Below are 21,283 nucleotides of genomic sequence, written 5' to 3'. Positions count from 1 at the left end.
TCTGGAGGTCATGCCAGGGATCCCCTGCCTCTAGCCGAATGGTCCTTTCTCTAGCCTAAACAGGAGATGGAGAAGAGCTTGCTCACTGTTAAAGAGCCTGGCAAAGCGTAGGTTGGGGTTGCTCTCTCCAGGGCAGACATTGCCAGAGAGAGGAGGCCACATCTGGCCCAAAGTCTTGTTTTCACTCAGCCCAACATTCATTGAACACCTACAATGTGGAGAGCCACTGGGGTATCATTGCTACCTTCTTGTCCTGTTCCCACACTAGGCATTCACCTTAGGTGAGGGATGGATGAAGCCTTGGACTGCATAGTCTATAAGCCAAGGGACTAAAAGGCCACTCTCCATTTTGGTTTCCATGTGTCTGAATTATAAAGAAGGCTTGTGTGGGAGTCAGAAGACCTGTGTTCTAATCCCGCTCTTGACTTCTCCTTGCTGTTGACTTCAGGGTAGTTATATAATCACCCTGAGCCTCAGCTTCTGGGTGCTAATGAGACCATGTGGCCTTGGCATCTTCTGATAAACAGAAAAGGCATTGAGCAATTTAATCCCAGAGGTCCTTTGATCCTGCTACCCTAGGCAAGCCAGGCTTGGGGTAGACAGAGGGCGGGGACATGGCTGCTTCCCAGAACAAGCTGTCTTCTCACCCTTCTCTCATCTGTGCAGCTGCCACCCAGTAACTGGAGCTTGTACCTGCCAGCCAGGCTGGTCTGGTCACCACTGCAATGAATCCTGCCCTGTTGGCTACTATGGCGATGGCTGCCAGCTGCCTTGCACCTGTCAGAATGGCGCCGACTGCCACAGCATCACTGGGGGCTGCACTTGTGCTCCGGGCTTCATGGTAAGATGGGAGGGGCCTCCCGTGGCCTTCCTGACCTCCACCGGGCCAGTTCCCCTCACCTCCTGGTGCAATCAGGACTGTGGCCCTGCACCCAGCTGCCTCCTTGTGTCCGCCTCAGAGACAGACTTCATGAGGGGAGAGCCCCTGAAGCTGTTCTCAAAGGGCCAGGGTTTGTAATACTAAAAATAATAGGAGGAGGGGGTCTTTCCATCACCCCCAACTCTGAAGGTTGCCTTCCTTTGTGCCCAGCTCCTGCCTGTCCATATCCTTATGCACACAATATTTTTACATCAGAAAAACCACAATGTACAGAGACAGTTTTGCATTCTGCTTTCTTTCACCCACATTGCTATGTTGCTGCTTAGGCTTCTTAATTATCATTTTAAATGGCTTCATAACACTGCAGGAGCAGATGTACCCCCAGTTTATTCAGCCATTCTCTTACTGCTGAATATTGTTTCCAGTGTTAACAGTGAATGTTGCAGTGAGCATCTTCATACAAATAGCATTCCCTCACCGCACCCTTGAATTATTTCCTTAGGGTGAATTCCCAGGGTCAGTGGGCATAATATATTTACGGCTCTTGATGGATGTTGCCATATTACTTTCCTCAAGTGTTCTATAAATCTACACCGCCACCAATTGTGTATGAATGTACCTATTTCAGAATAACTTTGCTAAGGTTTTCTTAATTTTTGCTAATTATGTAGGTAGAAAATGGTTCCTCAATGTTGTTCTAATTTGCATTTCTCTGATTACGAGGGAGAGTGAACATCTTCCCTATGTTTGTTTACAATTTGTATTTTCTCATGAATTATGCTGGTCTTTATGAGGTTTGTTTCTGGGGAACTTGACATTGGAAGTGGAATCCTGTTCAAAGGCAGGGCATGCCCAGCAGGCTCAAGGAGCCAAACACTCAGGGGTTCTCTATGGCCATGTTTAATTGTGCTGTAGGAAGTGGTACAATTGTGCAGTTGAAAGAGTGTGGCCTTTGGAACCAGACCTAGGTTGCACCCTGGCTATCCTACTCACCAATTGTGTGACCTTGGACCAGTGATTCAACCTCTCTTCACTTCTGTTTCCTCACCCGTGAAATAGAACACCTGCCTCGCAAGGTTGCTATCAGGTGTCAAGATGGGATATATAGAGTGCATTCTAGCAGGCTTCTCAGGCAGTAGTAAATTTTCTAAGCACCTGTGGTCCTTGTTCACTTGCAGGTTCTGATTCAGTCAGTCTGGGATGGGGCCTGAGGTTCTGCATTTCTAACAAGCTCCCAAGTGATACCAATAATGCTGGTCAGTGGTCCTCACTTTGAGTAGGACGCTGATATGTAGCCATGGGTCTCAACTTGGGCTGCACAGTGAAATCACTAGGAAAGCTTTATAAACATCAATGCCTGGGCCCCACTCCCAGAGATTCTGATGTATTTGGTCTAGGCATGGTCTGGCTGAGGCCAGTGTGCTGCTAAGATGGAGATCCACTGATCCACAGGGAATTCTTGTAGATCAAGCGAGGGTTTGCTTGGTGACAATGTCTTTTAAAGCCAGGTTGCCCCTGGTCTGCAGAGCAAGGCCCAGAACAAAACATTGTTCAAACTGAAATGTGGCTAGTTCTGAATTGAGATGTGAAGTGGAAAATACACATTGGATTTCCAAGACTTAGTATGAAAAGGTGAATATAAAATACCTCAATCATTTTGTTATATTGATTACATGTTATATATTTAAAGTATTGTGTGTGTGTGTGTGTGTGTATATATATATATATATATATATATATATATATTTTTTTTTTTTTTTTTTTTTTTAAGAGTCTCACTTTGTTGCCCAGACTGGAGTACAGTGGCACAATCTCGGCTCATTGCAACCTCCGCCTCCTGGGTTCAAGCAATTCTCGTGCCTCAGCCTCCTAAGTAGCTGGGATTACAGGCATGTGCCACCACGCCTAGCTAATTTTTGTATTTTTAGTAGAGACAGGGTTTTGCCATGTTGGCCATGCTGATCTTGAACTCCTGGCCTCAAGTGATCCACCTACCTTGGCCTCCCAAAGTGCTGAGATTACAGGCATGAGCCACCACTTCTGGCCTAAATATATTTGTTTAAGTAAAAACACATTACTAAGATTATACTAAGATTAAAAAAAAAAAAACAGTTACAATCCCCCTTCTTCCTCCCCAGTGCAGATAAAACTGGGTAAAAATGAACTCTTTGGCATCTTTGAAAGAGAAGGAAGTCTGGTTTTCTCTTAATTTACCTTTGTTAGTGTACATTTTTTGTTGTAATTTCCACAGTAAAATGGAGGTGCCCTGGGTTTTGAATTTGGGTAGGAGAGAATAATTGTTTGGGATTAAAAAATCTCACGTAGCCAAGTGGTCAGGTGACTGCACCACACTGCTCATGGGTGACCCCTGTCCCAGCTTGGCTTCTAGCATAGCTGTAGGACTTTGGGCATCTGTGGATGGGGTGTATACAGGGAGAGAGAAGAACCTATTAACTTCTAAGATGGTCCACTGTATGGACTCCATGGATCAAGTCAGGAAACACTGTTCTGGGGGAAAAGGGGAAAAGTAGGAGCAAGAAGGTATGTGTATACATAGGAGTGGGAAGCTCATTGAGGGTTTTACGGTCTGGTCATATACATTGTCTGTGTGTCTGCTGGGGGTCTTTCCTCCCTGTTCCCCCTTCTTTATCCCCAGTTGCCTGCCTACTCATTTCTCCTCAGAACAAGGGAAAACTGGGGCCCCAGAAAGGCCTGGGAGACTAGCATCTGTTTGCTCACTGTCCCCAGTGCTCCAACAGTCTGGAGGCCAGGCCACTGCCTCTCTTCCTTGCACCTGAGATGCAAATGACTTCCTGTCCTTGAACTTTGGGGCACAGGTGCATGCCAGAGTCATCTCACTGTGGAATGCCCCCTGCCTGGGGCTCAGGGCTAATACAGATTGTGAGTCAAGCTGCCCTGGTGAGACCCAGCGAATTCCCATCCATCTCCTCCCACCCAGCCTCGTTATTCCTGGAAAGGCTCCTCTGGGGCTCTGTTGGATGTTGGGCAGGGGCTGCAGGAGGTGATTACAGAACAGTTCATTGTTCTCAACCAGCATGACTCACTCCTGTATGCATCAAGCCCTGAGGGGGAAGCCATTACTCTTGTCCTCACTCCAGCTTCTGAGTGAATGCAACTTCCCACAATCAGCCAGTTCTGGTCAAAGTAGGAGCAATCAGCAGAGCAGACTCAGCAGAGACTCGCCTCAAGATGTCCCGCAGTCAGTAATAATTAGCAATGCCTTTGTTGGTTGCTTGGTTTGTGAATGTATGTACGCGCCTTTATCCTTGAATGATTTTAGGATAGGTAGTCAGTTAAGGACTAATTAAAGGAGCCCTTTTCTGAGTGTTTGGAGACCTTCATTCTAGGCTCAGTAATCTTGGACATGTCGCTTTACCTTGCTGGGCCTCCATTTCCCTATCTGAACGATGGGAGGAGTAAATCAGTTTTGCCTGCTATTGGATGTGAGTATCCCCCATGACAGTGGATGTGAAACCGCATCCTCAGCTGTCCCCTCCCACCCCAGCTCTCCCTGCCCGGGGTCTTTAGGGAGGATATTGGGACAGCTTTATGAAAGTAGACTCTAGGGGCTGAGAATGGTCTCGGGCTCAACATAAACGTGAGGAGTGCTGATGAAGTAGTGCAGAACCACACCTGTGAGCTCAGTGGCATGCCTGCCCTAGTCACGTGGTCTCCACCCCCGAGAGCACAGGGACACGGGGCAGAAGCAGGTCCTGCTTGGGGCTCTGGATTGGCCTTCACACACTTCCACTTCCTTCCCAGGACATTGGAAGTGGAATCCTGTTCACTGAAATGTGAAATACTGGATGTTTCCTCTGCTAGGACTTAGGGGGCAGGTGGGGATGTGGAAAGACTAATCAGACCCCCATCCAGGAACCTGTGTTCTAGTAATAAGCACATTCACACTAGCAGTGAACACTCACTGAATCCTGGCTGCATGCTTCGTCTGACTTATGCCTCACAAGGGCCCATGGAGATGCACTTTCACTTTCCTCAATTTGCAGATGAGGAGCTGGAGTTCAAACAGGATTAGCGACTTGCCTGGGATCACAAAGCCAGCGGTGGTGGGAGACACTGAACTCTCATATTAGTTGATGAGCTTTGATTGAAGGGTGACCATGGAACCAGACAAATCTAAGTTCAAATCCTAGCTCTCCAATCCCCACACTGACTACTGGCAAGCCACTTATCCTGCCTGACATGGAACTTCCTCATCTGCTAAAACAAGACTTTGCTTATGAGAATTAGGAACATTATATGAGAAGTTCAAAGCCAGTGCCTGAAATACAACAGACACTTGGTGAAATGGCAGCAATTACCGGTAAGCTATGAGAGTAGTGGGGGAACGTTGCTTCCCCCATGCCCGTGATACCAGTAGGAGGGTGTTGGGATGAGCTGTACCCACGGATACCTGATGGATCAGAGCCATGAACGTGCACAACTGCTGTTCTAGGCAGGTCCACCCAAGCACCTGTGGGTCACCCTGAATGGTCGGTCTCAGGGGGCACTGTACGAGTGGACAAGCCTCTCAACATTTGGGGAAATGGAGATAGAGATGGGGGTGGGAAGAGAGCCTGGGCATTTTACATGTTTGTTTGGCAGCAGTGATAGAATCACTTGGGGTATGCATTGGTAAATTGCACTGTGGCTGCCCAGTGGGGGCAAAGAGCCCTGGACCAGAAAACAAGAAATGAGTTTGTAGCTTTAGCTCTGCTAACTTTCTGGGTTTCTATTTCTCATCTATAAAATGGGAATGAAATTCCCTGCCCATCGGAAACAGTGGTGTGGGAGCTAGTCATTCCAGTGGGAGTGCTTACAAGTGGAAACGGCATCGTTTCAGCACCTTGGACAGCCTCATGAGCCAGGGATTCAAGGCTACTCTGTGCCTTCTTAGAATCCAGGGTCCTCGCCCAGACAGAACACCAGGGTGAACAGGGATGGGAGAAGGCAGAGTGAGGGGTCATATGACACAGTGGTCAGGCCAGCAGAGTCCTGAAATACCTGTCTTTGTGAGGATGATCCTATCCAGGAGGTGAGGACCTTTCTTCACACCCCGCTGAGCTAGGGAATTAGCTGAATTGTGGATGAGGGGACTAAGTGGAGCTGTCCATCCACTTGCAGGTTGGCATCACATCACCCCTCTCTGTGGCTCCCCACTGCCCACCAAATAAACCTCAAATCCCAGGCCTTTGTAATATGCCCTCGAACCTAGTCTACCCTAATCTCATCTCCCACTAAGTCCTGCCACAATCTGTAGCACACATAACTCATTTCCTCCCCACACACAGTACAGTAGTCCCCATTATCCATGAGGGATACATTCTAAGACCTCCAGTGCCTGAAATTGTGGGCAGTACTGAATTCTGTATGTACTACACAATAAGAGATTAACAGTAATAACTAATAATAGAACAATTATAATAATATGCTATAAAATTTATGTGAATGTGGCCTCTCAAAATATCTTTAAAAAAAATTTTTTTTAGAGATAGGGCCTCGTTCTATTGCCCAGGCTGTAGTGTAATGGCACAATCATAGCTCACTGTAACCTCAAACTCCTGGGCTCAAGTGATCCTCCTGCATCAGACTCCTGAGCAGCTGAGAATACAGGCATGTACCACCATGCCCAGCTATTTAAAAAAAAAAAATTTGTAGAGATGGAGTCTCACTATGTTGCCCAGGCTGGTCTGGAACTCCTGGCCCCAAGCAATCCTCTCATCTTAGGCTTAAAATATCTTCTTGTATTGTACAAGCCTACTTTGTTGGGGTTTTTTTGTTTGTTTGTTTGTTTGTTTGTTTTGAGATGGACTCTTGCTCTGTTGCCTAGGCTGAAATGCAGTGGCGTGATCTCAGCTTACTGCAACCTCCACCTCCCGGGTTCACGCAATTCTCTTGCCTCAGCCTCCTGAGTAGCTGGGATTACAGGCATGTGCCAACACATCCAGCTAATTTTTGTATTTTTAGTAGAGACGGGGTTTCACCATGTTGGCCAGGCTGGTCTTGAACTCCTGACCTCATGTCATCTGCCCGCCTCGGCCTCACAAAGTGCTGGGATTACAGGCTTGAGCCACTGTGCCCAGCCACAAACCTACTTTAAAACCACAGTTGACCTCAGGTAACTGACACTATAGAAAGTGAAACCAAGGATAAGGGGGCACTACTATATGTTCTTTGGGGCCTCTGTGCTTTTTCTCAAACCTCTCTTTCTTCCTAGAATGCCCTTCCCATAGTCCCTATCGCATCTATGAAAATCCTTCTCAGCCTTTCAGGAAATCAAAGGCTGCCTCTTCCATGAAGCCTTCCCTGAATACTCCTCTCTTCGGAATTAACCATTCCATCCCTTTGTTTCCACTGTGTGTGGCTCATACTCAGGTTCTATCTCCCTAAGGACAATAACATGTTTCCCTCTAACCCTGGACCTCCTAACAAGCCTACAATGCCTACCACACAAATATCTTGCTCAGCAAACTCCCTGAAATGAATGAAATCCCTGGTAGACCCAATGCCCTTAAAGCAGAAGTTTCTGGAACATTCCTGAGCTTTACAGTAAGGACATTCATGGCATTTCCCAAGAGGCCTTGCCAGTAGGGCTGGGACTTGACTCTACCTGTTGGCTTCTCTGAAATTTATGTAAACAGATAGCTACAGTGGGACTGGAGCAGCTGACCCCTGACACACCATCTCCAGATTCTTTGAGCAGTGGCATGAGCTTCTGCCTTATGAAATTTTGTGTAGTGGTTTGCAGAGACTCTGGTGCCAAATTCTCTGCCTTCGAATACCAGCTTTGCTGCATATTAGCTGTGTGACATTGGGCAAGATATTGTACCTCTCTGTGCCCCTAGTTTCTTTTATTTCCTTTTGTGTGTGTGTGTGTGTGTGTGTGTGTGTGTGTGTGTGTGTGTCTGTGTGTCTAAGCCTCACTCTATTGCCCAGGCTGGAATGCAGTGGTGCGATCTTGGCTCACTGTGCAGCCTTGACCTCTCTGGGCTCAGGCGATCCTCCCACCTCAACCTCCCAAGTAGCTGGGTCTACAGGTGCACGCCATCATGCCCAGCTGATTTTTTTGTAGAGATGGGGTTTTGCCATGTTGCCCAGGCTGGTCTCGAATTCCTGGCCTCTCATGATCTGCCCATCTTGGCCTCCCAAAATGTTGGATTTCCAGGCGTGAGCCACTATACCCAGCCTGCCTCTAGTTTCTTATATAAAGGAATAATAACATAGCCTTGTAGGATTATTGGGCTGACTAAATTAATTAGCAAATATAAAGTGCTTAGAATGTCTAGCATATTAGTAATCTTTCAACAAGCATTAGCTGTTATTGCTGTTGATGATGATGATGATGCCACTACTGCTGCTGCTGTTGTTATTTACACCAAGGGGTCTCTCACTTGAAGAGGATGACTGGTCCTGGCCTGAGTGCCCTGTTTGGGGGTAGAGGTGGAAATGGGGGTGAGAGAAAGGAAGCAGTTAGTTGAATCTTTCCCTTGGCTGGGAACAGCAGGGTTGCGAAGGGCTCCTGGGTTCCCAAGAGCAGCCACAGAACCGAGAATAGACTTCCTGCTCACACGGGGGAAGAAGGCTGATTTCTCGGCTCCACCATGCTCCTCTGCTGACTAGGCTTCCTTTCCTTAATTAAGGCCTCACCTAGGCGGCCAGACTGATGGAGCCTCCTCCACTGCTGTAGGACTAATTACTGCCACCTTGGTGCCTGCAGTGAACTGTCTGTGAGGTCACTGCCAGGGCTGCAAAAACTTGATTTCTCAGACCCCCTTCCGGCTGCCTCCTCCCGCATGGGTCCTGCGTGTCTGGAAGATAAGGGGCCCTCTGGCCATTCCTCAGCCCAGATGCTCCCTTTCAGCTCCACTGTGATGGAGACGGGAATGCGGGAAGCAGAGGAGAGGGGCTCCAGTGTCCCCTCCCATAGGATTTGGGGCCCATATTTCTCCCCAGGATGACAGCATTTCTATTACCTTAAAGGGCTCATCTATTTATGCTGCAATTTTTTGAAGCCCTGTCTGCCATTATTCAACCCTGCATGCTGGCGAGGGGAGCAGGCACTCCATCACCCAAATGAACAAATTTGTTTCTGCATTTTTCTCACCTTTCTCTGTGCCACTGGTAGGTCATACAGAAACCTCAGCTGTTCTGACCAGGGAAGGTGGGAGCGGGGCGCAAGAGTTATGAAAATTCAGATCAGTGGAGCAGTGATTGAATTTCCCTCCAAGGTTTCCAATGTCCTTTAAAGACGTTACGCTCCCCCGGCCTCCCCCAGCTGGGCAGAGTGCGTGTCCACCTCTTGGGTGGCTCCTAAGCTGGAACTAGGGAGTGAGAGAAGTGTGACCAGTAGAGAATGCAGACTGAAAATGACAGCCAGGTGACATGGATATCATGTGTGTGCATTTTCTTTTCTAATTGTTTCATTCTTCATCAAGCTGAGATCTACAGGCTGTTAGCCCTAAGAACAGAAAACCAGCTTCTCATCCCCTCACCTCCCACTATTGACTCATTTCCCAATTACTGTAGTAAAAGATTTTCCTGAATGCAGCACCGGGAATGAGGAATTCATCCTCTAGCTGCCATGCCTGTGCGAACAGAGGAGTACAAACACTGCAAAATAGCAGAAATGATCATCCAAAAATAAGACACACACACACACACACTCCAGTACCCAAGTCCTAGCTCTGTTATCACCTCCTATGTGGTCTTGTTGGAGTTACTTAAGCTTCTCAAGCCTCATTTTTTCATCAATAAAACAGGATAATTAATGGCACTATGCTGTAGTGTTATTCTGAGGATTGAATTAGATAAAATATTTAGAACAAAGCCTGGCACGTAGCGAATGTTCAGTAAATGTTTGTCAGGGTTTATTATGTGGTTGTGGAGAGAAGACACACTGCAAGCAAAAGGACATGGACTTTGGAATCAGACAGTCCTGGGTTGGAATCCCACATCTGTCACTCAGTAGCTGTGTGACCTTAGGAAACACAGCCTCTTAGAGCCCGTTTCTCATTGGTGAGATGGATTAATAATGCCAGCCCTTCGGGGTCGGTATGCGCACTGAGCGAGATGCAGGGTGTAACGCTGTAAAACAGGTGTAACACTGTAAAACAGCTTCATAATGGTGGAGCTGGAAGAATGCTCAGGGCTTCCACAGTGCACAGCAAAAAAAAAACAAGGTCAGAAAGGGAAAGTGAACTTCCCTCAGGTCACACAGCATATTGTAACAGAGCTGGGATGGAATACAGGCGACATGACTCCCAGCCTACTGTTCTTTCCACCTTTACCTCCATCTCATGAGCTTCCTGTACCCACAGCAGACACGTACTGATGTTTCCCTGGGCAGGGAGGGATGGTGGGGGTGGCAGGTCGGTGGGGGCACAAAGGGAGTCACCAGGGGGTTAAGTCATGTTGTCAATTAATTCACAGAGCAAAGTAGGGAAAATTGGTTTTATGTCACTAAGATGAGGCCAGCCTTCCCCCTCTGGGACCCCACTGTACAGCTTATTAGGGAAAACTGCTGACTCTTCTACTCTAAAAAATAAACATTTGCCATCTCAGACCACCCTCTTGCTGTCATGTTCCTGATGTCCTTATTATCAGTACCCTCATTACTGGGGTCTGGGCTGGGGCTTTGTCTCAGGCCTAGTGGCCGCAGCAATCTCTGTGCAGCAAAAGAAGCTATTGGAGCAGATCTGCGGCATCTATGCTTTAAGTATACCCGGTTTTCTTTTTGTCCAAGTCTTCAGCATAGATGGGGCTTCTGCTGGCTCCCAGTCCTAGCCAGAACCCAGGGCCTGGGTCTGACCTCACCAATTCTAGAGGGCAGGGATAGGGCCACAAATCAGAGAAGCCTCCCTGAAAGGTCTGGAGAAAGTAGACAACCAAATGGGGGTGATGATGGCTCATATTTTGCAGTGGGCCCTAGGCCAGGCACTCTGTTCTATGTACATTGTGTTTAATCCTCACAACAACCCTGTAGGGTGGGGCTGTAGCATCCCCACTTTGCACTCTGGGATTCTACCCATCCTTCCCAACAGCTTGTTTCATTGGAGCTTTACACCAGCCCCAGGAGACAGGGGGTCAGCGTTTGCACCCTCATTGTGCAGAAGAGCCCACAGGCTCTAGTCCCCCCACAAAATCTGCAGGCCTGGAACAAAGAAAGCTCCTGCTAGCCCTGCGCTCAAGCTTCAGTGCCCCAGCTCCCCAGCCCCCTAGCCCAGCCCCTCCCAGCCACCTCTCCCTTAGTCATTAGTGCCGATAATTCCATCTGCAAGAGTAATTATCAACCCCAGGAGGGGAAGGGATTCCTGCCAGAAGATGTGATTATGTCTGGAAAATGAAGGATATTGCAAAAAAAGGTCATGAATAAATTATTTCAAAGTGGGGCTAATAAGAAAACTAACAATGGGGGTAAATGCAAAAAACAGAAAAAACATAACAAAAAATCTATTTAAAAGTTATCTCCCAAAAACACTAAAAAATTCATATTCTTGCTTCTCCTAAAAGTTCTGAGGAGGGAGATATAATTCCCTGAGACAGGCCCAGGGAAGCCAGTCAGGGGCTCCCTGGCCATGAGGCACAGGTGTCGAGGAGGGTGTAGGGAGGGAGTGGAAGGAAAAGAGTGGGAGCAGAGCAGGTGGGCCCTGCATGCCAAGGTGGGGTCTTGTGCTTAAGTCAGCAGGCAAGAGGGAGCCACTGCCGTCTCGAGCAGGGTTGTGACAAAACAGTACTGTATTTGACCTCCATTCTCTGTGTCGGGAGATGGTGATGTCACAGAATAAGAACCAGCACGCAGGCTTGGTGCAGTGGCTCACACCTGTAATCCCAGCACTTTGGGAGGCCGAAGTGGGTGGATCACCTGAGCTCAGGAGTTCGAGAGCAGCCTGGCCAACATGGTGAAACCCCATCTCTATTAAAAATACAAAAATTAGCCGGGCATGGTGGTGGGTGCCAGTAGTCCCAGCTACTTGGGAGGCTGAGGCATGAGAATAGCTTGAATCTTGCAGTGAGCCGAGATCACGCCACTGTACTCCAGCCTGGGTGATAGAGCATGTAGTAGGTGCTCAGTAGATGCTGGATCCCATCCTCCCCAAATGTCTTCACTGGAGGCTGCTTGGCAGAGTGGGGAGAGCATGGACTTTGAGTCAGGGAAACCTGAGTTTGCATCTCAGCCTTGCCATTCACCTCCTGGGTGGCTTAGGGTAGGTTCACCCTTTGCTCGCCTCACACGTGGATGTTTCTTGTAGGACGGTTGTGAGCATGAGACAGGGCAAGCTCTACAAAAGTGTTTGGCACAGAGTAGGTAAATCATAGCCTCTTCTTGCACCTGCAGTGGGCCTAGTTCCTGTTGGGTCATATGTAATAATAAAACGCTGAAAGCATCTATAGCACTTACTCTGGGCCAGGCACTGTTCTAAGAACATTACATATATTAACTTATTTCATCTTCACCACTACCCTTGGAAGAAGATACTATTGTAATTCCCATTTTGCAGATAGGGAAACTAAGACACAGAGAGGTTAACACCTTGCACAAGGTCCAAAAAGCCCCAGGGCCAAGACCTGAACCCAATAGTCAGGTTGCATAGTCCATGAGCTTGACACGCCCGCCTGCCCCTGCCTGTGAGCTGCGGGTAAACCCAGAGTGATCCTCACTGCCCCCAACAGGATGAAACCTTAACTGTGGCCTTGGGGGTGATGGAGCCAGGAGAGCTGAATTTGGAAATGGCTGACAAATGATGGGGGAATCAGGCACCTGTCAGGCAGCTCAGGGGAGGTGTCCGTTCCCCAGGTGGTGGCAGGAATGGAGTGCCCAGTCACCACGCTGTCCATCCGTATCACTGTTCTCCAATACAAAACACTCATAATAAACACCATCTCATGTGCTCTCACTGCCCTCTGAGGGCTGTGATGGTGCCACCGACATTTTACCAATAAATAAACTGGCGTGGCAAGGTTACATAGTCTCTGGGGCATCTCAGCACTCCCCAGCCCAGGGCTGAGCCCCTCCTCAGGCCCTCACTGCTCCCCAGGGTGCCCCCTCCCACCCCATCTCCCTCAGTAGCTCTGCTCCCCTCTCCTCCCTCAGGCCTGCAGCCCCACACCAGGTCTGCCCTGCAGGGAAGTCTGCCCTGAGCTCCCATCAAACTTGCCCCTTCCTGGGCTTGGGTGCCTTCATGGAGGGCACATTCCAGGCCCGTGTTCTGTGTGGTGAGGCACTCTGTGAGAACTTGACTGAGAAACCTCTAGGGCCAGAAAAATCTAGAGGAAACTAGCTTTAAAAACCCAAGGGGCTGGGCACGGTGGCTCACGCCTGCAATCCCAGCAGTTTAGGAGGCCGAGGAGGGCAGATCACTTGAGGTCACAAGTTCGAGACCAGCCTAGCCAATGTGGTGAAACCCCACCTCTACTAAAAATACAAAAATTAGCCAGGCATGGTGTGCGCCTGTAATCCCAGCTACTCGGGAGGCTGAGGCAGGGGAATCACTTGAACCCGGGAGATGGAGGTGGCAGTGAGCTGAGATGGCACCACTGCACTCCAGCCTGGGTGACAGAGTGAGACTCCATCTCAAAAAAAAAAAAAAAAAACCTGAGAGTTTATATGAGTTGGGGAGTTGGGGATGCGGATGGACCAGAGGACACTGGACAGTAGAGGCAGCCGTCCCCACCCCAACTCCTTTTTTGTTCTCTAGTAAAAGCCTCTCCAGTGTTAAATTCTGGGCTGTCTTTGCATTCAGCCTATAATTGTTTTTATAATGACTCCACAATCAATAAGCAATTGGATTTGCCAGAGTCTAGACTCTCAGCCAGAGAGGAAGGGCCCAGGCACCTTTCTAAAACAGGCTGGAACACTGAGTCACTCACCTGCTCTAGGGGGCCCTCTTTTATCTCCCAAGCAAAGTTCATGCCTGTCGCTCAAGGCCATCCTGGCTGGGCCCAGCCTGACCTCCAGGCTCCTGCTGCTGCCTCTCATCACCCTTCCCTAACCCCTGAACTCCAGCAAATCCAAACTGCCTTACCCTGCAGCCCCCCAACCCACGTGTGGCCCCACTGCCACGCCTTTGTTCAGTCTGCCCATTCCCTCGAATACCCTTGCTCTCCATCCCCCTCAGCCACATCCTGCTGGTGCACCCTCCAGTCTCCATTCAGTTGCCACCTCCTTATAAAGCCTTCTTGCTGTCTTCCCTATGGGACAGAGCCTTTCCACAGGACACTGACATACCCACTCTGGTGGCACATTGTGGATGTTTTTCTCCCATCTACTAAACAGAAAGCTCCAAGGATCTGTCCATTTCATCCCTGTGTGCCTACTCTATTCCCCACCCTGCCACCTCCTAACCCCCAGCCTATCCAAGCCCGGCACAGTCCCCTGCACAGAGTGTCAGTAAATATGTGTTGAATAAATGCACAGATAGTTTAGAAGCATCCCCTAAAATGTGAATGCACCGCATTTTACTTGGACCCTAGTTTTCTTTATTAGCCTCTGCAAGACCCTCTGTCCCCCACAGTCTGGCTCCCACCTAGGACACTGTCACCATCACTATTGTCAGACTCTGGCTCTGCAGGCCACTGCCCCAAGTCCACACTACACAGCCCTCACCTAGGGCGCTGGGCTCTTTTACGGTACACATGCATGTATACCCTATAGATCCAAGCCACCCCTCCCTGACTTTGACCCGTACCATGCTCAAAGCCACTATGATCAAATCACCGTTGGGGCTTCATGGCCAGGATCAGCCCAGATGTCTGACATGCAGATGCTAAGCTTGCCCCACAGCTGTCACACCACCAATACATATCACACACACATACCAAACTCACATACTACATGGATCACGTAGGGGGTGACCCTCTAAGTTACCATGCAAACCAGGACACTGGGACAGCAGGCCCAAATCCTATCCCTAACCTGCTCTCCATACATGCAGAGCACATGTACATCTAGTACCTCTGACACACATAGGGCTCACGTGTTAATCACACGAAATACATCAGGAATATATACCACCGCTAGCACACATACACAAGCTCACCAAAACAGCCTGCAGAACATGCACGTGGAGAAGTTGCCAGCCTGTGCCCCTCCCTGCCTCCATGGTCCACATACATACTCCTCTAAATGCTCAGAAAGACCTCCCCCAACACCCAACATAGGTTTTCCCAGAAGTTTAGAGGCAATTTTTTTGGCACTTAAAAATGACAAGGTTTGGGTGGAACGTGGTGGCTCATGCCTGTAATCCCAGCACTTTGGGAGGCCAAGGCAGGTGGATCGCCTGAGATCAAGAGTTTGAGATCAGCCTGGCCAACATGGTGAAACCCCGTCTCTACTTTTAGTAAATTAGCCAGGCCTGGTGGCATGTGCCTCCCAGCTACTCGGGAGGCTGAGGCAGGAGAATCGCTTGAACCCGGGGGGCGGTGGTTGCAGTGAGCCGAGATTGTGCCACTTTACTCCAGCCTGGGCAAAAGAGCAAAACTCCGTGTTAAAAAAAAAAAAAAAAAAAAAAAAAAAAAAGCCAAGTTGTTTTTTTGTTTTTGTTTTGTTTTGTTTTGTTTTTAGCACTATGGATATCATGAAACCTAACATAGATTGATTAGGGTCATATGCTGTCAATGATTGCCCAGAAACCCCTGAAGACTGAGGCCCAGGATTTGCAGGGAAGCTTCATTCTGTTCTCAGAGGGAGCAGGTCCCAGCAGACCTGTAAGAGATGCTCTGAATCCCTGTGGCCATAACCATCCTCACCCCCAGCCCCTCAGGAACCACAGAGCTCTGGACAGGGCTCAGCGCCAGGGAAGCAGGGAGAGATGAGGCCAGGCACGGGGAATCAAAGCTGCAGCAGGAAGCTCCTTCCTTCTAAATAAGGGCAGAGACCTGCCTGGATGTGGGATGCTGATAGCATCTGAGGTCAGCAGCAGCAACACAGCACCGCCACCACCACCACCATAGTCATCATCATCATCATCATCAAACCAGCTTTCTCTCATTCAAAGGATATACATTATTAAATACTAACTCACTCCCACTGCCTGTTATTCCGCCATCTTAGCTTTATACCCTAAAGTCTTGAAACCTTTTGTACTTCAGGAGCTTCCTAACAACATAAGATACAAATGCCCCCTAAGAGTTCCCTCCATAAGCCCCCATAAGCCATTTCTGCCTTCATTGTCAACACATATTTAACAACAAATGGGTAGGACAGGAGATTATGAAATTACACATCACAGGCACCTGGTAGCAAGCCTGGCACGTTGCATGGGCTCAGGACATTTGAGTCCCCATCATTTCCAACCTGTGTGCAGTCAAGGCAGCCTGGTCTAGGGGAGAGAACTTGGGCTTTGGAATCAGTTGCCCCTTCCCTTTCCCATGCTGTGACCTGGGGCAAATCGACCTCTCCGGCCTTGGTTTGCAAACCCTCTCTAGGATAGTTCTCTCTCTAGGAAGGGAATTCTCTCCCTGCAGGGCTGTTATAGAACAAAAGGAGATAAGAGGGAAAAAAAAAGTGCCTGGCACAAGCCTGTCACCAAGGGGCAGGGGCGTGAAAAATATGGAGTTTCCTTTCTCCTGTCATCAGCACTAGGGATGTGTGGGTCTGCCCTAAGCCACAGGGCCAGCCCTGTCTGGAGGGGTGAAGGGGTGTGGTCATTGGTTAGGACCAGGGTCCTGCTCCCCACTCCCTCCTGGGGCTGGCCATCATGCATATACTGTGCAAACATCTCCAGAGATTTTAGATTTTGGGTCTCCTAGTAAAGTACAAATACCTCTCATGAGTTTGCTCAATAAGTCCATATTAGCCAGTAATGCCTTCTCTAAACTCGGTACAGAATCTCAGGAAAGAGAATGGTTAGAAAAGGAGAAGGGGCTACAGGTAGCACAAGAGCATCAATACAGAGGAGAAAAGAAACTGCTCCACAAGAACTGCAACTGAGTCCCTAGGAGCACCCTGGATGACTCAGCCAGTAAGTGGCACGGCCTCAACTTGATCTAAAACACCTTTTCTTGGCCACATGGACCGCCTCTTGGGTCTGAATTTTTTTTTTTTGAGATGGAGTCTCACTTTGTCACCCAAGCTGGAGTGCAGTGGAGCAATTTTGGTTCACTGCAATCTCCGCCTCCCGGGTTTAAGCTGTTCTCGTGCCTCAGCCTCCCAAGTTTAGGCTATTCTTGTGCCTCAGCCTCCCAAGTAGCTGGGATTACAGATGCCTGCCACGACGCCCAACTAATTTTTGTATTTTTAGTAGAAACAGGTTTTCACCACGTTAGCCAGTCTGGTCTCAAACTCCTGACCTCAAGCAGTTCACCTGCCTCAGCCTCCCAAAGTGCTGGGATTACAGGCATGAGTCACTGCACCCAGCCAGATCTCTCTGAAATGTTTTGGTGTCTGTTTGGGAACTGTTGGAAGGTGTCTGTGCTCCTCCAAAGAGGCCCCTTGAGATGTCAGAGCCATATCACATATTTGTGCAAATTAGAATAAGTTACCCCTTTCTCAAGACATTCTACTGACATCTGCCAGAAAACTGATGTAATATATACACAAATCTATAATGACTGTCATTTGAATAAAACCTCTAGATTTGTGCAGTGCACACCCTACACAACTGCACAGAGTAACCTCAGATCACTGGCAGCCTATTCATTTTTGATAGACATAAGTGAGAGTGAATACTACATGGGGCTTCCAGTCCTAACCTTTCTCCTCCTCCCACCTGCATGGGAGCCAGACAGAATGACTCAGCCCCACAGGCTGTGGACATTTCTCCCTCAGCATAGGAAGGCAGGGTCAGGGATGGATATGACAAGTGGCCTCCAAGTCTCTCTCTTTCTCATCCCTGTGGCTCTCTGTTCCTCATACCTTATGCAGACTTTCTTTTCCCCAACATGCACCTGCTGTCAGTTGCTGCTTTATCAGTGACGCACCAATTAGGTCCAGCGAGGTTTGCTCTGCGTTGGAGAGGCTGCTGTGGCTGGCATTTGGACAAGCTATTCTGTTTGCCTTGTGGGCCACGTGTCACTCTTTCTCCCTAGGAAATTACAAATAAGGCTCCCCACTTGGGAGTCCCACTGTCCTAGCGCTTAGAGTTGGGAGTGGGGTGTGACTGACAAGGGTGGGCAGGAGAGTGCAGCAGCCCAGGGCTGGCATTCTGCTTGACAAGGAGCAGGCACTTGCTTGGCAAGGGGCTTTGTAAACAGTAAAGCATGCAACTCTTGTGTGCTGCTGGCATGGATGCGGCATTGGACACCAAAAGCAGTCCCCATTAGTAGCTCCGGAACTCCAGGAATGGCTGGGGTGATGAACAGAAGCAACCAGAGCCACTACAGGCCGCCTGCAGAACCCATGGAAGTAGGGAGGGACTAGCCTGTGCCCCTTTCATGCCACAGCCTCATTTTATGCCCCACCCCGTCTAGCCACTAGACATTACTGACAAGCTCTATTCCACTCCCTGTGTATCCCCTGACCTCGCACAGTGTCTGACACATACTGGCACTTAAGAAACATTTCCTGAATGTCTGAATAATTCAACCCATGTGTACTGAACACAAATGACTCAATCCTTATCCTCATGGAACTTGCAATCAAGTAAATGAGAGCTGAATTTTTTAAATGATTATTTCATTACAACTGTGGTAAGTGACACAAAGGAGCAGTAACAGGGAAACTTGCCCTGGAAGTGGGAGGGCTGGGGGAGAGTTAAAGAGGGCTGGGCACGGTGGCTCACGCCTGTAATCCCAGCACTTTGAGAGGCTGAGGCAGGTGGATCACGAGGTCAAGAGTTCGAGACCAGCCTGACTAACATGGTGAAACCCCGTCTCTACTAAAAATACAAAAATTAGCCAGGTGTGGTGGCATGCGCCTGTAATGCCAGCTACTCAGGAGGCTGAGGCAGGAGAATCGCTTGAACCCGGGAGGTGGAGGTTACCGTGAGCTGAGATTGCAACATTGCACTCCAGCCTGGGCGACAGAGCGAGACTCTGTCTCCAAAAAAAAAAAAAAAAAAAGTTGGGAGCTGAAAGGGACCTTAGGTCTCATCTAGTCTAGTGTAATGGTTAGCAAGACCCAGGGCCTATCACAGTGCCTTGCTTGTCATAGATGCTCAAGAAACACAGATTGAATGAATGAATGAGGAAGTCACCTTGGGCTAGTGCTTTTGCCTCACTTGAACCTATGTACTCTGTCCCCAGGTCCAGAACCCATTCTTGCCTTGAGTCATCCTACCCCACCTACTCCTCCAACAAAAGGATAGCTGAGCCAGGCCAACTTCCTTGGTTGCTGGTCCCAGAGTGATCTCTGCTGAGCTCCCACAGGCTGGCAGGCTCATGCCACCTTGGCCTGTATCTAGAGAACTCAGTTCCACTCCATTTACACTGCCTCCTACCCACAGAGCATATTTAAGGGGACTAGAAGACAGACTCACACAATTGCCTCCCTCTTTTGTGTGAGGGAGGGTCAACCACTTTCCATCCTCCTCCAATTAGTCCAAAAAATACTCATTAACCTCCTGTCCATTGCAAGGAAAACAGATGATCAACATGAGAAGCTCAGCTGTTGATTAATTTTCCCAAACAGGGCCAAACTACAAAGCAGCATATTGCAGGGGAGAAAATTCAATAAACAATATTTGAAACAAATTTAATAGAACATACAACTCATTACCCACCGGGGTCTGGGCCTGTGCCATCATGTTATGCATGGAGGCAGGTGGAAGGTAGAGGAGCGATTTGCATCTTTAGTGGGACCAGCGTCGAGGGTTTGTTAGTAGTGCTTTCAAATCAAGCTCAAGATGTTAATAGCCAGTACTGCATCTATAATTAACAGGCCTTTGGATGGGAGGAAGGGTTCACATTCATTCTGCATTCACAGAAAAAAGATGCTGAACAGGACTGGCAGGCATCCCCAGCAGAAGCATGGGGACCTGCCCTGTAGGTGGTGTGGACTGGGGAGATGGGGATAGATGAAGATAGAAAGACACCCAAGCATCAACTTCCAGGTGCTAAGAAAGGGTCAGAGCATCTAGGCCTTGGTGGGTGGTACTCCCTCAAGATCAGGGCCATGTCCTCTGGATGTCTTGCTCTGTGCTTAGGTGGCAAGTGCACTTTCCATATCAACAGGGATGGCACAGGCCAACCCAGAATTCCCACATTTAGGCTGTTAGCATCCTGTGACCCAAATGGGAGCTAGGAGATCTGAGTTCCAAATGAATGTTCACCTTGCATTGGCTGTGTGATCTTGGGCAAGTCACTTTCCCTTTTTTGGCCTCAGTTTACTCACCTATAAAACAAGGCAGCTGGACCAGGTGATTCCCAGTGTCCCTTTCAGCTCTAGCATCATGGGCTATCTACCCACCATTAGGACAGGTGTGTGACCAGGCCGAGGCCATGCATTAGCAGAGCAGGTGGACCACAGCTGGTGGGATTCTTAGAAGCCCAAGAGGGCTCCCCGTCTTTGGCCCTCCTTCCTACCATTCCTCACACCTTTGGGTTAAGACCCCCAGTCCAGGCAAGAAGATGCTCAGAGTCAGAGCTAAAGGGCCCTTAGAGATCACATAGCCAGTGGTTCCCAGCTGGACACTTGCAAAGGCTGCAGCAGGTTGCCAAGAGCAGTTTGGTACATTTCACAAAACCTACAGGAAATCCTGTATTACCTGTGATGAAGTTAACTGAAACACCAAGGTTTTTCTTTTGCTTTTAATTAGAATTAAATTAACTCTATGTGATATCCCTGGTTAGTGTGTGCTGATCAGAAGCTCTGATTGGTCATAGGTGACATCATAGGAATATCTAGATCATGACTGGTGGACAAGAGGCTGCCACTAGAGTCACATGGCATGTGGCCACTGGCCAAATTGTATTTGTCCAATATATGACTGGCCTTGGACACCAGCCCAGAGTGACTGCAGTGTCTTTCAAATGGAGAGGGCTTTGTAGGCGGAGAATACTAACAAGGGTCCTTAGTGGTGAGAAGTTGGGGAGACTGGTTTCAATAGCCTCAGATGATTGATAAAGAAACCAAGGCCTGTACATTATCTTGCATTAACATGAATCTATCGGAAGAGAAGATAGACTACTTCTAGCAGGAATTCCGGATGGTGATTTTAGGGGAACAACCTCAATAAAGGACCTTAGGGGACAGGCCTGGCTGAGGGAGTAGGCAGAGTTGCTAGGCTAAGCAAAGCACATGACATGCCAAATGCAAACTCCCCAGCTCACAACCCTGGCTCTCATCCTGGCCTTTTCTCCAGTGTGTGACAAGATCAACTGACATGAACTGAGGGCTGGTTTGGGTCAGGCTCTAGGCAGGAGGAGGCAGGTGTAGACAGCACAACCCTTGCAGCCAGTTCCCTGGGAGCAGTGGCCTGCAAGTCCCAGCTCTGCCTTGCGGGCCCACTT

At 48.8% G+C, this 21,283-nt stretch overlaps 1 protein-coding gene across 25 annotated transcripts in view, besides 4 other annotated features; it reads left to right on the top strand.

The window, feature by feature from the left end:
• Window positions 1-21,283, top strand: part of MEGF11 (multiple EGF like domains 11) — a 358,452-nt gene that overhangs the window by 295,363 nt on the left and 41,806 nt on the right. For all 25 annotated transcript variants that reach the window (NR_169555.1, NR_169554.1, NR_169558.1 and 22 more), the window contains one exon: window positions 667-841. Coding sequence is in view for 20 of the 25 variants with exons in the window: in NM_001385030.1 (NP_001371959.1) it covers window positions 667-841 (175 nt within the window). In the remaining 5 variants the exon portion in view is untranslated. The remainder of the gene's footprint in view (window positions 1-666; window positions 842-21,283) is intronic.
• Window positions 292-793: an enhancer, noted in NCBI's record as "H3K4me1 hESC enhancer chr15:66249933-66250434 (GRCh37/hg19 assembly coordinates)". NCBI's record gives its function as "activates a minimal SCP1, AML or CMV promoter by ChIP-STARR-seq in naive H9 embryonic stem cells {active_cell/tissue: H9 hESC(naive)}" and the evidence as "EXISTENCE:reporter gene assay evidence [ECO:0000049][PMID:30033119]".
• Window positions 794-1,297: an enhancer, noted in NCBI's record as "H3K4me1 hESC enhancer chr15:66249429-66249932 (GRCh37/hg19 assembly coordinates)". NCBI's record gives its function as "activates a minimal SCP1, AML or CMV promoter by ChIP-STARR-seq in naive H9 embryonic stem cells {active_cell/tissue: H9 hESC(naive)}" and the evidence as "EXISTENCE:reporter gene assay evidence [ECO:0000049][PMID:30033119]".
• Window positions 4,081-4,594: an enhancer, noted in NCBI's record as "OCT4-NANOG-H3K27ac-H3K4me1 hESC enhancer chr15:66246132-66246645 (GRCh37/hg19 assembly coordinates)". NCBI's record gives its function as "activates a minimal SCP1, AML or CMV promoter by ChIP-STARR-seq in naive H9 embryonic stem cells {active_cell/tissue: H9 hESC(naive)}" and the evidence as "EXISTENCE:reporter gene assay evidence [ECO:0000049][PMID:30033119]".
• Window positions 5,623-5,917: a silencer, noted in NCBI's record as "tiled region #15210; HepG2 Repressive non-DNase unmatched - State 10:DNaseD, and K562 Repressive non-DNase unmatched - State 10:DNaseD". NCBI's record gives its function as "represses a minimal TATA promoter and a strong SV40 promoter by Sharpr-MPRA in HepG2 and K562 cells {active_cell/tissue: HepG2 | K562}" and the evidence as "EXISTENCE:reporter gene assay evidence [ECO:0000049][PMID:27701403]".

This window comes from Homo sapiens, chromosome 15, assembly GCF_000001405.40.
Source record: "Homo sapiens chromosome 15, GRCh38.p14 Primary Assembly".
Lineage (NCBI taxonomy): Eukaryota > Metazoa > Chordata > Mammalia > Primates > Hominidae > Homo > Homo sapiens.
This window is presented reverse-complemented; position numbering and strand designations above follow the sequence as displayed.